The 13,349-nt window shown below is 58.0% G+C and overlaps 3 protein-coding genes, 1 long non-coding RNA gene and 3 other non-coding genes across 9 annotated transcripts, besides 14 other annotated features; 3 read left to right on the top strand and 4 right to left on the bottom strand.

Annotated features, from left to right (window-relative positions):
• Positions 1-992: 992 nt before the first annotated feature.
• Positions 993-3,086, bottom strand: RNF151 (ring finger protein 151). Of its 3 annotated transcripts, none has more exons than XM_005255129.5 (4): positions 3,058-3,086; positions 2,523-2,695; positions 2,121-2,217; positions 993-1,508 (listed from the first exon to the last, which is right to left on the bottom strand). In XM_005255129.5, exons 1-4 carry the CDS (start codon positions 3,058-3,060, stop codon positions 1,017-1,019), a joined length of 765 nt encoding a protein of 254 aa, XP_005255186.1. In that variant the 5' UTR covers positions 3,061-3,086; the 3' UTR covers positions 993-1,016. The 3 variants fall into 3 exon arrangements, with proteins under 3 accessions (XP_005255186.1, NP_777563.2, NP_001335640.1); NM_174903.6 differs by having other exon boundaries at positions 2,523-2,668; NM_001348711.2 differs by lacking the exon at positions 2,121-2,217 and adding an exon at positions 1,940-2,069 and having other exon boundaries at positions 2,523-2,668.
• A 1,351-nt stretch (positions 3,087-4,437) lies between these two features.
• Positions 4,438-4,946, bottom strand: SNHG9 (small nucleolar RNA host gene 9). Its single transcript, NR_003142.2, has 2 exons — positions 4,813-4,946; positions 4,438-4,536 (listed from the first exon to the last, which is right to left on the bottom strand). It is a non-coding gene; the product is annotated as a small nucleolar RNA host gene 9 (long non-coding RNA).
• Positions 4,632-4,758, bottom strand: SNORA78 (small nucleolar RNA, H/ACA box 78). The gene has a single exon (NR_003020.1). It is a non-coding gene; the product is annotated as a small nucleolar RNA, H/ACA box 78 (small nucleolar RNA).
• Positions 4,935-5,880: an enhancer, noted in NCBI's record as "H3K27ac hESC enhancer chr16:2014063-2015008 (GRCh37/hg19 assembly coordinates)". NCBI's record gives its function as "activates a minimal SCP1, AML or CMV promoter by ChIP-STARR-seq in primed H9 embryonic stem cells {active_cell/tissue: H9 hESC(primed)}" and the evidence as "EXISTENCE:reporter gene assay evidence [ECO:0000049][PMID:30033119]".
• Positions 5,116-7,884, top strand: RPS2 (ribosomal protein S2). The gene is made up of 7 exons (NM_002952.4): positions 5,116-5,135; positions 5,314-5,493; positions 5,577-5,666; positions 6,686-6,793; positions 7,033-7,206; positions 7,286-7,445; positions 7,672-7,884. Exons 2-7 carry the CDS (start codon positions 5,317-5,319, stop codon positions 7,842-7,844), a joined length of 882 nt encoding a protein of 293 aa, NP_002943.2. The 5' UTR covers positions 5,116-5,135; positions 5,314-5,316; the 3' UTR covers positions 7,845-7,884.
• Positions 5,420-5,714: a silencer, noted in NCBI's record as "tiled region #9904; HepG2 Repressive DNase matched - State 1:Tss, and K562 Repressive DNase unmatched - State 2:TssF". NCBI's record gives its function as "represses a minimal TATA promoter and a strong SV40 promoter by Sharpr-MPRA in HepG2 and K562 cells {active_cell/tissue: HepG2 | K562}" and the evidence as "EXISTENCE:reporter gene assay evidence [ECO:0000049][PMID:27701403]".
• Positions 5,515-5,784: an enhancer, noted in NCBI's record as "active region_10247". NCBI's record gives its function as "activates an Ori minimal core promoter by ATAC-STARR-seq in GM12878 lymphoblastoid cells {active_cell/tissue: GM12878}" and the evidence as "EXISTENCE:reporter gene assay evidence [ECO:0000049][PMID:35858748]".
• Positions 6,775-6,864: an enhancer, noted in NCBI's record as "active region_10246". NCBI's record gives its function as "activates an Ori minimal core promoter by ATAC-STARR-seq in GM12878 lymphoblastoid cells {active_cell/tissue: GM12878}" and the evidence as "EXISTENCE:reporter gene assay evidence [ECO:0000049][PMID:35858748]".
• Positions 6,775-7,771: a biological region, named in NCBI's record as "H3K27ac-H3K4me1 hESC enhancer GRCh37_chr16:2012172-2013117".
• Positions 6,826-7,771: an enhancer, noted in NCBI's record as "H3K27ac-H3K4me1 hESC enhancer chr16:2012172-2013117 (GRCh37/hg19 assembly coordinates)". NCBI's record gives its function as "activates a minimal SCP1, AML or CMV promoter by ChIP-STARR-seq in primed H9 embryonic stem cells {active_cell/tissue: H9 hESC(primed)}" and the evidence as "EXISTENCE:reporter gene assay evidence [ECO:0000049][PMID:30033119]".
• SNORA64 (small nucleolar RNA, H/ACA box 64) lies at positions 6,836-6,969 on the top strand. Its single transcript, NR_002326.1, has one exon. It is a non-coding gene; the product is annotated as a small nucleolar RNA, H/ACA box 64 (small nucleolar RNA).
• Positions 7,005-7,114: an enhancer, noted in NCBI's record as "active region_10245". NCBI's record gives its function as "activates an Ori minimal core promoter by ATAC-STARR-seq in GM12878 lymphoblastoid cells {active_cell/tissue: GM12878}" and the evidence as "EXISTENCE:reporter gene assay evidence [ECO:0000049][PMID:35858748]".
• Positions 7,145-7,194: an enhancer, noted in NCBI's record as "active region_10244". NCBI's record gives its function as "activates an Ori minimal core promoter by ATAC-STARR-seq in GM12878 lymphoblastoid cells {active_cell/tissue: GM12878}" and the evidence as "EXISTENCE:reporter gene assay evidence [ECO:0000049][PMID:35858748]".
• Positions 7,245-7,314: an enhancer, noted in NCBI's record as "active region_10243". NCBI's record gives its function as "activates an Ori minimal core promoter by ATAC-STARR-seq in GM12878 lymphoblastoid cells {active_cell/tissue: GM12878}" and the evidence as "EXISTENCE:reporter gene assay evidence [ECO:0000049][PMID:35858748]".
• Positions 7,476-7,608, top strand: SNORA10 (small nucleolar RNA, H/ACA box 10). The gene has a single exon (NR_002327.1). It is a non-coding gene; the product is annotated as a small nucleolar RNA, H/ACA box 10 (small nucleolar RNA).
• An 82-nt stretch (positions 7,885-7,966) lies between the features above and the next one.
• On the bottom strand, positions 7,967-10,404 carry NDUFB10 (NADH:ubiquinone oxidoreductase subunit B10). Its single transcript, NM_004548.3, has 4 exons — positions 10,188-10,404; positions 8,651-8,789; positions 8,306-8,445; positions 7,967-8,145 (listed from the first exon to the last, which is right to left on the bottom strand). The coding sequence occupies exons 1-4, from the start codon at positions 10,315-10,317 to the stop codon at positions 8,036-8,038; spliced, it is 519 nt and encodes a 172-aa protein (NP_004539.1). The 5' UTR covers positions 10,318-10,404; the 3' UTR covers positions 7,967-8,035.
• Positions 8,205-8,254: an enhancer, noted in NCBI's record as "active region_10242". NCBI's record gives its function as "activates an Ori minimal core promoter by ATAC-STARR-seq in GM12878 lymphoblastoid cells {active_cell/tissue: GM12878}" and the evidence as "EXISTENCE:reporter gene assay evidence [ECO:0000049][PMID:35858748]".
• Positions 8,295-8,574: an enhancer, noted in NCBI's record as "active region_10241". NCBI's record gives its function as "activates an Ori minimal core promoter by ATAC-STARR-seq in GM12878 lymphoblastoid cells {active_cell/tissue: GM12878}" and the evidence as "EXISTENCE:reporter gene assay evidence [ECO:0000049][PMID:35858748]".
• Positions 9,775-9,884: a silencer, noted in NCBI's record as "silent region_7012". NCBI's record gives its function as "represses an Ori minimal core promoter by ATAC-STARR-seq in GM12878 lymphoblastoid cells {active_cell/tissue: GM12878}" and the evidence as "EXISTENCE:reporter gene assay evidence [ECO:0000049][PMID:35858748]".
• Positions 10,315-10,624: a silencer, noted in NCBI's record as "silent region_7011". NCBI's record gives its function as "represses an Ori minimal core promoter by ATAC-STARR-seq in GM12878 lymphoblastoid cells {active_cell/tissue: GM12878}" and the evidence as "EXISTENCE:reporter gene assay evidence [ECO:0000049][PMID:35858748]".
• Positions 11,347-12,188: an enhancer, noted in NCBI's record as "H3K27ac-H3K4me1 hESC enhancer chr16:2007755-2008596 (GRCh37/hg19 assembly coordinates)". NCBI's record gives its function as "activates a minimal SCP1, AML or CMV promoter by ChIP-STARR-seq in primed H9 embryonic stem cells {active_cell/tissue: H9 hESC(primed)}" and the evidence as "EXISTENCE:reporter gene assay evidence [ECO:0000049][PMID:30033119]".

Raw genomic sequence — 13,349 nt, 5'->3', positions numbered from 1 at the left:
TTATTTTTTGAGACAGTCTGGGTCTGTTGCCCAGGCTGGAATGCAGTGGCGTGATCTCGGCTCACTGCAAGCTCCGCCTCCCGGGTTCACACCATTCTCCTGCCTCAGCCTCCCGAGTAGCTGGGACTACAGGCGCCTGCCACCACGTCTGGCTAATTTTTTGTATTTTTTAGTAGAGACGGGGTTTCACTGTGTTATCCAGGATGGTCTCAATCTCCTGACCTCGTGATCGGCCCACCTCGGCCTCCCAAAGTGCTGGGATTACAGGCGTGAGCCCCCGCGCCCGGCCTCGTTTTTTGAGACGGAATCTTGCTCTGTCGCCCAGGCTGGAGTGCAGTGGCACGGTTTCCGCTCACTGGAAGCTCCGCCTCCCGGGTTCAGGCCATTCTCCTACCTCAGCCTCGCGAGTAGCTGGGGCTACAGGCGCCCGCCACCATGCCTGACTAATTTTTTGTATTTTTTAGTAAAGACGGGATTTCACTGTGTTAGCCAGGATGGTCTTGATCTCCTGACCTTGTGATCCGCCTGCCTCGGCCTCCCAAAGTGCTGGGATTATAGGCGTGAGCCACCGCGCCTGGCCTATTTATTGATTTATTTTTATGAGACGGAGTCTCACTCTTGTCGCCCAGGCTGGAGTGAAGTGGTGTGATCTTGGCTCACTGCAACCTCCACCTCCCGGGTTCACACCATTCTCCTGCCTCAGCCTCCCGAGTAGCTGGGACTACAGGCGCCTGCCACCACGCCCAGCTAATTTTTGTATTTTTAGTAGAGACGGGGTGTCGCCATGTTGGTCAGGTTGGTCTCGAACTCCTGACCTCAGGTGATCCACCCACCTCAGCCTCCCAAAGTGCTGGGATTACAGGCGTGAGCCACCCACGCCCGGCCTCCTTCCTTTGAAAAAGAAAAGATGAAAGAGAGCAGGCAAATGCCTGGAGAGGGCAGCAGGGATGCACCGGTGACAGTTGTGAGGGCCGCAGGCACAGAGGCAGGCAGGCCGGGGGTCTGCTTTTATTTACCTATTTACAAGGTATGTTGGCCCTGGGCTCCCCCACCACCTCAGCCCCAACGTTGCCTTCTGGGGCAGCCTCGGCCTCCTCCTGTGGGGCACCCTCCAGCAGAGCGGTGTCTTCCTCCAGGAAGTTGCTGAGCTCCGCCAGCTCTCTACGAACGACACTGGTGGCTTGGTCCAGCCAGCGCACACGCCGCAGGAGGGACAGCAGCAGGGGCCGACGGCGCTCCTGGCGCACGCTCCAGGCGTTGTGCAGCTCCCGGTAGCAGTTGTGGCGAGCACGCTCGGCCGGGTCCAGGGTGGCCCCGCAGCCCAGGGGGCAGCGCTGCTGGGACCCTTGCTGGCAATGCTGCCGGTGCTCTGCCAGGGTCCCACGCGGCACCTGCGAGGTGCAGCCCTCGTTGGGGCAGGCCGTTAGCTCAAAGGGGCATGAGTCCTGGTGCCCCTTGCGATGGGCCAGGGGGCATGTCACTATGCAGCCAGCGTCGGCGTTCTTGCACTGAGGGTGAAGGAGAACGTGTGAAGAAACCGGGCAGGACACCCACGGAATCCCCCACCCCTGGCTTTCCATTCGCCAGGAACCAGGGAACCGGGAGCCTCCCACGCTTTTCTGACTCTGGTGAGTTGGTGGAGAGAACACTGGGGCAAATGCCTAGACGTGGGAAGAAGCTAGAAGTTCCAGGGGAGAGGGTGAGGCCTGAGTCTTGGGGAACTGGAAGGTACACAGTTGGGTTGGTCTGGTGAGTGGTATGGATGCCAGGCTTTCCTTTTTAACCTCGGTTTACCCATCTGTAAAACTAGGGGACTAGAGAGTAGTGGCAGGCACACTGGGCACTTGATCCTCTAAAAATCCTCTGTAATCTCCATTTTAAAAGTCCTCTAAAATCTCCATTTTCTAACCCAGGGGCTTGGAAAAGTTAGGTGACTTGCCTAAAGTCACACAGCAACTAAGCAGTAGAGCCACGATCCAAACTCAGCTATGTCTGGTCGTCCCAAGGCTGCACTTGTTTCTCTCTGAAGATGGGATTCTCCTGCCTTCTCTCCTAGCCCTGCCCCACCCCTACAAGGGTGAGAAGGGTTGAGGGTCAGGGGAGTGGGTACTTTGAGCTACCTTGACTTCCAGGCGGCCAATGGTTTTCCGGAGTTTATTCATGTGGACAACCTTTTTCCTTTTCACCTCTTTCCTACAGCACGGACAGGTCTTTTGTCTGGAAGGAGGCATGAGTAGGGGTGAGTGTTGGGAGTGGGAAGGGAGCCCTGGTCAAGCCCTCACTCGGTGACCCAGGTGGTCCCTTCATTAGCTGGATGAGGCATTAGGGCATATTACAGGGCGCTCTCAGCTCTGAGGGTGGGGCCGGGGTCTGCAGACACTACTGAGTGAGGGTACACACATTTTAGTTTAGGGAGATTTGGTGGCTGAGTCTTTTGGCTGACTTTCCCCTCTGTTCTGGGCCACAGCAATGGCCCCCAGTCTCACTCCTGCCCTCCCAGCCCCTTGGGTACCCGCTGGCACCTGGCTAGCCACCGGAGGATGCACTTTTTGCAGAAGATGTGGCTGCATGGCAACCTTGCTGGCCTCTTGAGAACCCCATGGCAGACGGAGCACACGAAGTTGCTGTCAGGAGGGCTGGCGAAGAGGTTGAGATCATACCCGCCACCCTGCAAAGGCCAGGTGTCAGCACCTGGCTGGGACAGTGATCCAGTCCCTGGTCCACATACCGAGCAAGAGAGCCCAGCAAGCTTTTGGCAGGGAGGTGGGCCACAGAACTTCAAGTAAAGGGGTTGGCTCAGCGCCCACTTTGAGGGGGCAGCTGTGGGGGTTAGGGCCCCCCACCCCAGGACTACTAATCTCTGGCTGGAGACGGGGGCCTTAGCCTGGAATTAGACCTAGCCAGAGCCTTCCAGAAGGTTTCCTTGTACCATATGGGGGTCTGCAACCCATTGCCCACCCTTTCCGAGTGGAGTGGGGTCGATCCCTGGACAACTGGGCAGGTTTCTGGAGTTGGGCACACATCTCAGGGCTGGAAGCAAGAGGGCCCCAGGCTCACCATGATCTGCGTCTAGACAGCAGCTCCACAGGCCCCCAGAGCTCAGGAGCCTGCATTTCACAGTGGGTGTGGGCTGACATCACAATAGCATTGTCCAGCTCAAGCCAGTCACAACCCTGGTTCAGGACCCAGAGACCCCGTACAGCCCAGCCCTTGCCCCCTTCTCTGAAGGATCACAGGTAGCCAGGCGCGGTGGCTCACACCTGTAATCCCAGCAGTTTGGGAGGCCAAGGCAGGAGGATCACTTGAGCCCAGGAGACCAGCCTGGGCAACTCAGTGAGACCCCACCTCTTAAAAAAAAAAAAAGCCATACGGCTAGCTGCAGTGGCTCATGCCTGTAAGCCTAACACTTTGGGAGGCCGAGGCAGGCAGATCACTTAAGGTCAGGAGTTCGAACCAGCCTGGCCAACATGGTGAAACCCCATCGCTACTAAAAATACAAGAAAATTAGCCAAGTGTGGTGGCAGTTGCTTGTAGTCCCAGCTACTTGGGAGGCTGAGGCAGAATTGCTTGAACCCGGGAGGCGGAAGTTGTAGTAAGCTGAGATGGTGTCACTGCACTCCAGCCTGGGTGACAGCGAGACTCCGTCTCAAAAAAATAAATAAAATAAAATAAAAATAAAAGAGAGCAGCTCTTGACCTGAGATAGGTCTATGAAGCGCCTGGGGCTTGAGAGTGGCTGACAGCGTTTCCCCAGAAGCACTGGGTCAGAACCAAGCTTCATGGAGCTGTCTCCCCCAGGCCAGGGCTTCAGTGGGATCACAGGGATTGCCACCCTCTTCTCTCCAATACTGCGGCCCAGGTGGCTGGAGATCCTAAGGCTTAGGGGTTTTAGGCATTGACTCACTGGGGGTCTTCACTTAGGATCTGATACTCAGGTGCTAGCTCCACGGCAGTGACAACTAAACTCCCGGGTAACCTGCCGCCCCAGAGCAGGGGGCCCAGCCTCCCAAACCAGGTGTCTGATCCACTCCAGCCTAGCACCACGGGGGCGCTGAGTTCATCTAGGCCTAGTTGGTCAAATCCTTTAGAATCTCACCTGGTCTCACAAGGAAGCCACTGGAAGCCTCTGAGCTTCCCATCCTTGCTAGTGCTCTGCTGGCTCCACCTGGAGCCCTTTGGACCAAGGCATTTTACCTGCCAGTGTAGTTCACTTGAGATGCGCATGGCCACAAGACTGTTCGTAGTCTGGCTCCTCCACTTAAGAGGCGTCGGACCTTACACATCACCTGCCAACCTCCCATATCCTACCCTTGTGTCCAAAGCCAGGAAAGAAGAGGAGGCATCTCGCTAGGGTTCTCCCCGCCACAGCGTGAACATATGCACTTGCCGCCAGGCTGATAGGCGAGTCGGGGCCCCAAGAACACCCGCATGCAGTGAGTTAGACAAAACAGCTTTATTTGAAAGACGTGGGACAGCCAAGTTCCCCCAACCCCGCGGTCCTGGCGACGTCGGTGTCAGGCGTGGGAGGACCAGTGTCCTGCGGAGAAAGAACAAGGTTAGGGGTCTGCAGTCGGGGTCAGGAGTCAGGGGCCAGACCTCGCGAGCGACCGCACCCGGGGGGGAGGCGGCAGCGCCTGTCGGGGCCTGGGTTTCACCGCCGCACATGGGGCAGCGCGCGGTGAGCTGAGGCCCCCGGGGGCTCTGGGCGCCGAATCTCACCCGCGGCCACGGCCAAAGCCGGGGGCGATTTTCAACCAACGCCGGTCTCGAAGACCACCAGCGAGACGCCAGTGGTCAACGCGGCAGGACCTACCTAAGTGAAGAGGAGAGCGCAATGGAGGCGCGGACGTTTATAGCCACTCTTCGGGTGGATTCCCGAGCCGCGGCTGGGGACGGAGGCGCCGGCGTTTATAGTCGCTTTTCGGGTGACGTAGATTCCCGGGCCGCGGCTGGGGCCGGACGGGCAAGAGCACTCAGAGCCCGGTGAGGGCGGGGCACCGCGGAGCCAATCACAGGTTGTCTTATAGGAGCTCGGCCCGCTCCCGCTTGGGGCGGGGCTGCGGAGATCTCGCGGCGCTTGGCGTGCTATAAAAGCTGCTTCCCAGTAGGTCTCGTTCTTCTTTTCCGACAAAACACGTGAGTCCTGTTGGTCGCTGCAGCGGGCCTCTGCGTGGGCGGCGGGAATCCGCGGACATCGGGTCGGGTCTAGGCTCCCGAGTCCGCGCTCCTGGGCGGGAGCCCTTGTCTGGGTCTCGCGGGGGGCTGCCAGATGCGTAGGCCACACTGACTAGTTCCTTCTTGTCGCTTTTCCCAGCAAATGGCGGATGACGCCGGTGCAGCGGGGGGGCCCGGGGGCCCTGGTGGCCCTGGGATGGGGAACCGCGGTGGCTTCCGCGGAGGTTTCGGCAGTGGCATCCGGGGCCGGGGTCGCGGCCGTGGACGGGGCCGGGGCCGAGGCCGCGGAGCTCGCGGAGGCAAGGCCGAGGATAAGGAGGTAGGTATCAGCCACGCTCGGGGTCGGGCCCCTGGGCGGCGCCGGAGAGCGGTCCTGGTCACTGGCGCCTTTTCTCCCTTTAGTGGATGCCCGTCACCAAGTTGGGCCGCTTGGTCAAGGACATGAAGATCAAGTCCCTGGAGGAGATCTATCTCTTCTCCCTGCCTATTAAGGTACGCGTCGGTCGTTGGGGCGTTGAGCAAGTGCGACCCCGGAGTCATTTGGGCTGGGGTTGGAGGATTAGCATCTGCCATTGACTCGCATTAAAGGGCCCAGCGTCTCGCGTGAGAGGTTGAGGTTGTGTTGCGGGCTGGCTGAGGAGAGGATTCCACTTAGAGGTTGGATGGATACCTGAGCGAAGCCAGAGCCACAAAAGGCATTTCAGCGCATCTTCCCACATTCGCAGCGAATTCATTTCGAAAGAACTGAAAGAGAAGCAGCGCTTGGTTCATGCCATCCGAGAGGATGATGAAGTTCAGGTTGTGGGAGGACACTGTAAGGGTTAGCAAACTGTCATAGTCCGCGTGTACGGGACAGCTGTCATCTGCATCCAGCGGGTGCAGTGGGGAAAGGCTAATGGCATATTTGTCATGTGAGCGTTCGCCCTAGCAAGGTACGGTGGTCATGGCTAGGCCAAAGCTGGACAAAGCAAAAGGAAATCTGAGTGGAAAGCCACATCTCACCAAACAAGAGAAAAAGGGCAAATAGGAAGAAACGATTGAGATGCAGAAATAGGGTAACCTTACATACAAGCTTCCAAAAACGAAACGAAGGGGACAGATCGGGGGGAAGCCAGGTGAGGGGGTTCATGACTTCTTCGGTTTTTTTTGGGCGGGGTGGGCGGTTACACAGTTTCGCCCTATCGCCTAGGCTGGCGTGATCTCGGCTCACTGCAACCTCCACCTCCCAGGTTCAAGCGATTCTCCTGCCTCAGCCTCCTGAATAGCTGGGGTTACAGGCGCACTCCACCATGCCCGGCTAATTTTTTGTGTCTTTAATAGAGGTGGGGTTTCACCATGTGGCCAGGCTGGTATCGGACTCCTGACCTTGTGATCCGCCCACCTCAGTCTCCCAAAGTGCTGGGATTACAGGCTTGAGCCACCGCCCCCGGCCGTGACTTTGGTTCTTGAATATCATAATGGTATTAAGTTTTTTTTTAATGCTCTCCCTACAATTTTCTTGTTTGTTTCAGGAATCAGAGATCATTGATTTCTTCCTGGGGGCCTCTCTCAAGGATGAGGTTTTGAAGATTATGCCAGTGCAGAAGCAGACCCGTGCCGGCCAGCGCACCAGGTTCAAGGTACCCGGCTGTCCTGGAGGGGGCTGCGCTGGGCTTGCCGGGACTCTCTCGGCTCTGCATAGTTGCACTTGGCTTCACCCGTGTGACTTTCGTAACGGGGAGAGAGAGAAAAGATCTCCTCAGGACCTCGGATGGGCCTTACTGTGGCCTCTCTTTCCTTGAGGGGTGCAACAGGCCCTGGGCGGTGGGCAGTGATTGGGTGTAGGGCCACCAGCTGCCTCACACACATCTTTTCGCAGGCATTTGTTGCTATCGGGGACTACAATGGCCACGTCGGTCTGGGTGTTAAGTGCTCCAAGGAGGTGGCCACCGCCATCCGTGGGGCCATCATCCTGGCCAAGCTCTCCATCGTCCCCGTGCGCAGAGGCTACTGGGGGAACAAGATCGGCAAGCCCCACACTGTCCCTTGCAAGGTAGGCTGGTGGCAGGTGATGGGCCTGCCGTGGGGCAGGCTCCCTCGGGCCCCCGTCTCCTGACTCCTTCCCTCACCAGGTGACAGGCCGCTGCGGCTCTGTGCTGGTACGCCTCATCCCTGCACCCAGGGGCACTGGCATCGTCTCCGCACCTGTGCCTAAGAAGCTGCTCATGATGGCTGGTATCGATGACTGCTACACCTCAGCCCGGGGCTGCACTGCCACCCTGGGCAACTTCGGTAGGTGGTCCACACATGGGGCATAGCCATGGTCTCTCAGCTCCGCTTAACCACACGGGTCCAGTGTGTGCTTGGCGTGTTTTCAGGGAGGCAGAGAAAGGCTCTCCTAATGCACGACAGACCCGCCCAGAATGGCCTCTCTGTTCCTAGGAGTGCGACAATTTTTGGGTTGGGGGACTTGCCTCAAGCACACCACTGACCCTCCTGGGGTTCTTTTGTTTTGCAGCCAAGGCCACCTTTGATGCCATTTCTAAGACCTACAGCTACCTGACCCCCGACCTCTGGAAGGAGACTGTATTCACCAAGTCTCCCTATCAGGAGTTCACTGACCACCTCGTCAAGACCCACACCAGAGTCTCCGTGCAGCGGACTCAGGCTCCAGCTGTGGCTACAACATAGGGTTTTTATACAAGAAAAATAAAGTGAATTAAGCGTGTTACTGTTTTTTTCCCGTGTCCTGCATGGTTAGTGGTGGTTTGAATCTGGGGCGTGGGGCCAATAGATCACACCAGACACACAGGCAGGTTGCAGGGCTTTATATTTCAGCAACAGTCATACAGAGCCACACAGCAGGGGCACCCACAGCTGCCTCAGGAGGTGGCAGCGGCGGCCTCTTTTGCAGCTTTTCTCTCTTGCAGCATCCTCTGCCTCTGTTTGGCCAGGCACTTCCTGGCAGAACTGTAGGCCCCCAGGTCCTGATCTGGGGAAGCAATGGAAACAAGCTGGGAACCGAGGCCTCTGCTACATGCAAAGGGGGCAAAGTCAAGTGAGCACAAGGGAGGGGAGGGAAGATTTGCAATGGTTCTGGCCCCCAGGCCTCAGGAGGATGGTGGGGGGTTGGGGGTGGGTGGGGCACGCACAGCGGTCCTGGTAGGCCTTGGCCACCTGGGTGAACTGCTCCACTTCCTTGATACAGTTCTGCTGGTAGTTCTGTCCTTCCCTCTGCTGACAGGCTTTGAGCCGATCCTGCATAATGTTGATAATTTCTTGGTCGACTTTGCTGGTGGAGAAAAGGAGCAAGAGAGGCTAATCACAAGGAATCCTTTTCCTGTACCCTGTGAGAACAATTGAAAGCAAGAGCCCTGGGGTCTGGCTCCTCCCATGTCACCCCTAAAATCTGGGCATGCCACCCTGTGGCATCCCAGGGACTAGTGTCCCAGCAGCACACGGTGCAGATCTCCACACTCCCAGCATGGCTCACGTACTAGTCCCTCTTCCACTGCATTTCGGCTTCATACATGCACATGATGTCCTCCTCCTTGCACTCAGTGATGTCTGGCACGCGGCGGTACTGCCGGTGGTAGTAGTAATACCTGTTCTTTGCGTGCTGCCGCTCTATAAATTCTGCAAAGACAAAGCCACAGACTCAAATGCCTCATCGGTTTGGACAGGCTTTTAGCTTTCTTATTTCTCATAAGCCCTTTGGAGGGGAGAGAGGAGAACTTCCTGAGTGTTCCAGCGTTTAGAAAACAGCAATTCGTCTCTCTAAGGGATGTGGCCAGCCAGGCAGGCCTGTGAAGGCCTAGGCTACAGCTGATGGAGAGCTCCCGAGTACCAGGCATCATCCTCAGAGTTCCACATGCATTACCTTACTCTGTCCCCCACACAAGCCTACAGGCAGCTGCTTCTCACAGATGGCAAGGACTGGGACGCAGCTCTGCCAGTGCACCTCCCCCAGCTGCACAGGGACCCTGCTGGGTGCGCAAAGAGGCTCCAACAGGGAGCCTCCAGCAAGCAGAACTTACCACCTTACGGCCTCAGCTTCCTCACTGGGAAATGAACGAGCTAAAAGGAGAGCTCGAACATCCAGACACATAGGACAGACATGCTCTACAACTGCTACAAAAGAGAGGGAGCTGGGTCCGCTGTTGCACGGTTTCCAGATCTTTGGGGGTTTGATTTGGAGACTTCACCCTCTTACGGAAGAACCACCAGAGCATGCTATGCACCCCAAGTGTTCAAAAAGAACTGAACCAGGCTGGACACGGTGGCTCAGGCCTGTAATCCCAGCACCTGGGGGCCAAGGTGGGAGGATCACCTGAGGTCAGGAGTTCGAGACCAGCCTGGCCAACATGGTGAAACCCCGTGTCTACTAAAAATATAAAAATTAGCTGGGCGTGGTGGTGGTGCGCCTGTAATCCTAGTACTGGGGAGGCTGAGGCAGGAGAATCGCTTGAACCCGGGGTGGGGCAGAGGTTGCAGTGAGCCGAGATCGCGCCACTGCACTCCAGCCTGGGCAACAGAGTGAGACTGTCTCAGGAAAAAAAAAAACAACAAAAACTGAACTGGGCATTTTCCCGGTTCGTTCCAGAGATGCTGAATTTGGGCATCTCGGCCATCACCCCGACACTTGGTCATCCGGCAGAGAGACATTTGAGAGAGGCCTGAGGCCAGCGGTGCAGTGGAGGGGTGCCCGGGGCGGCGGGGGGCGGAGAGCAGTGCGGGGTCCTGGGGCAGTGGGCGCTGGGTGCGGCAGGGAGGGAAGAGTCCTGGGAAGAAGCGGGGCATCCCGGGGTGCAGGGGAGAGTAAGGGATCCTGGGAGGTGAGGTCCGGGGTGCAGTGGGAGGCCAAAGGAGGCGACGGAGCTCGGAGGTCTCCGGGGGTGGGGAGTTGTCCCCGGGGTGCAGCGGGGGGCGGTCTCAGGCAGACGGGACCCCGGAGGCATTGGAGGATCCAGGCAGGGTGTGGGATCCAGGGGTCCCCAGAGGCCGGCGAGGGAGCCCCGGGCTGGGGCTTCGTACCTCTCACGAGGGTCACGGGTCGGTCCACGATGAGGTCGAACGCTTTCATCATGTAGACGATGGGATTGGGCTGCACCGGCGTGCGGCGCGGGGGCTCAGGGTACACATCCTTGTCCCAGCTGTCCGGCATGGCGGCGGCGGGCGCGGACTCCGCTCCCGGACGCGCTGCCCTGGCCTCTACCTCCGTCCGGGTCCCGCGGCCTAGGTCGCCCGCTACAGAGGACGCCGAGGGCGGCTGCGTCTGCGCGCTGGCGCCGCGATGCACCATGGGACTTGTAGTTCCCCGGCTCCGCCGGGCGCGGCCGGGACCCGCCTCGCCGCAGGGCGCCCCCGCGTGGGGCCTCCGTTCTCGGTCTGTGCCGAGCGCCTACGCGGTGCTGGTCGCTGGTCTGGGCGCCTGGGAAGCAGCCGCGAACCGGACAGATTCCTGCTTACGATGAAAGAAACAGACAAAAGGCAACTGACATAAGGAATAGGAGGGGGTCATTCGGTTCCCACTGCGCGCCAGGCACTGTGCTGAGTGCAGCAGGGAATAAGATAAACTGTGATGGAGAACACAGGCCGTTAGAGCGCACACGACAAAGTGAACAAATAGCACGCGATTCCAAACACCCTACTCCTCCAGGAAGCTTTCCTGGATTGCCTAGTCCCTACAGACTTCTCTGGGCCCCGCTCTCTACAAGGGCCCCTCATGGACTGGCTGGTGCCAGTTAACTTGGGAGCCTGTCTGGGGGAGGGCAGGGAGCAGACCAGGAGGCAGGGCTTGCCCTTAGGCGGCTCATAGGGAGAAGGCACCTACCCTGGGCACAGGGCCCTCTGGCCGGCTTTGATGGTTCCATCCTGGCCCTGGGGCACTCTGGTGCTTCTAGGCAGCTCCACTGAGCAGGGTCCTGCTGGCCACATCTTCAGTCTCCACACCTGGCACGGCCCCTGGCTGCTATCCAGGGGGGACACTGGTCATGTCCTGTCCTGAGGTTGAGGCCAGCGACACAGAACCATCAACCCTACAGACAAACAGTGAGAGGTGACAGCGTGCTGGCAGTCCTCAGAGCCCTCGCTCGCTCTCGGCGCCTCCTCTGCCTGGGCTCCCACTTTGGCGGCACTTGAGGAGCCCCTTTCTGGGCTGGCCAAGGCCAGAGCGGGCTCCCTCAGCTTGCGGGGAGGTGTGGAGGGAGAGGCGCAGGCGGGAACCGGGGCTGCGCGCGGTGCTTTGCGGGCCAGCGCGAATTCCAGGTGGGTGTGGGCTCGGCGGGCCCCGCACTCGGAGAGCCTGGCCGGCCCTGCCGGCCCTGGGCAATGAGGGGCTTAGCACCCGGGCCAGCGGCTGCGGAGGGTGTGCTGGGTCCCCCAGCAGGCCGGCCCACCGGCGCTGCGCTCGATTTCTCTCGCCAGGCCTTAGCTGCCTCCCCGCGGGGCAGGGCTCGGGACCTACAGCCCGCCATGCCTGAGCCTCCCCCACTCCGTGGGCTCCTGTGCGGCCCGAACCTCCCCGACGAGCGCCGCCCCCTGCTCCAGGGCGCCCAATCCCATCAACCACCCAAGGGCTGAGGAGTGCGGGCGTACGGCGCGGGACTGGCAGGCAGCTCCACCTGCAGCCCCCGTGCGGGATCCACCGGGTGAAGCCAGCTGGGCTCCTGAGTCTGGTGGAGACGTGGAGAACCTTTATGTCTAGCTCAGGGATTGTAAATACACCAATCGGCACTCTGTATCTAGCACAAGGTTTGTAAACACACCAATCAGCACTCTGTGTCTAGCTCAGGGTTTGTGAATGCACCAATCGACACTTTGTATCTAGCTACTCTGGTGGGGACTTGGAGAACCTTTGTGTGGACACTCTGTATCTAGCTAATCTGGTGAGGATGTGGAGAAGCTTTGTGTCTAGCTCAGGGATTGTAAACGCACCAATCAGCGCCCTGTCAAAACAGACCACTGGACTCTACCAATCAGCAGGATGTGGGTGGGGCCAGATAAGAGAATAAAAGCAGGCTGCGGGAGCCAGCAGTGGTAACTCACTCAGGTCCCCTTCCACAGTGTGGAAGCTTTGTTCTTTCTCTCTTTCCAGTAAGTCTTGCTGCTGCTCACTCTTTGGGGTCACAGTGCCTTTATGAGCTGTAACACTCAACCGCGAAGATTTGCAGCTTCACTCCTGAAGCCAGTGAGATTACGAGCCCACTGGCAGGATGAACAACTCCAGACGCGCGGCGCCTTAAGAGCTGTAACACCGCGAAGGTCTGTAGCTTCATTCCTGAGCTAGCGAGAGCGCGAACCTACCAGAAGGAAGAAACTCCGAACACATCGGAACATCAGAACGAGCAAACTCCGGACACCCCGCCTTTAGGAACTGCAACACTCACCGCGAGGGTCCGTGGCTTCATTCTTGAAGTCAGTGAGACCAAGAACTCACCAATTCCGGACACAACAGGATCTACGGTCACAGAAACGTTCGGTCTTCACATTATGAACTTTTTTTTCTTTTTTTGTTTTTGTTTTTGTTTTTTTTTTTTTGAGACAGTTCTCTCGCTCTGTTGCCCAGGCTGGAGTGCAGCGCGTAATCTCGGCTCACTGCAACCTCCTCCTCCTCCCAGTTTCAAGTGATTCTCCTGTCTCAGCCTCCTGAGTAGCTGAGACTACAGGTGTCTGCCACTACGCCCGGCTAATTTTTTGTATTTTTAGTAGAGACAGGGTTTCACCATGTTTCTGGTCTCAAACTCCTGACCTTACGTGATCTGCCCACCTCGGCCTCCCAAAGTTCTGAGATTACAGACATGAGCCACTGTGCCTGGCCAAAGTCTTGGAAAGAAATATGAACCATGAGACCCAAACAATCTTGACATTTTAGTAGCCTAGAATCTTAGTATCTATTGATGTAAGAACCACGTATCTTAGAGATGTCATAGGCCTGAAAAACTCTAGAATTCCACTGCTATAGAACTTTACAACTGGCTGGGCGGGGTGGCTCACACCTGTAATCCCAGCACTTTGGGAGGCCGAGGCGGGTGGATCACCTGAGGTCAGGAGTTTAAGACCAGCCTGGCCAACATGGCAAAACCCCATCTCTACTAAAAATACAAAAATCAGCTGGGCATGGTGGCACACACCTGTAATCCCAGTTACTAGTGGGGCTGAGGCAGGAGGATAGCTTGAACCCAGGAAGCAGAGGTT

This window comes from Homo sapiens, chromosome 16, assembly GCF_000001405.40.
Source record: "Homo sapiens chromosome 16, GRCh38.p14 Primary Assembly".
NCBI classification, from domain to species: domain Eukaryota; kingdom Metazoa; phylum Chordata; class Mammalia; order Primates; family Hominidae; genus Homo; species Homo sapiens.
The sequence above is the reverse complement of the archived record's forward strand: the minus strand, read 5'-3'. Positions and strand labels throughout refer to the sequence as shown.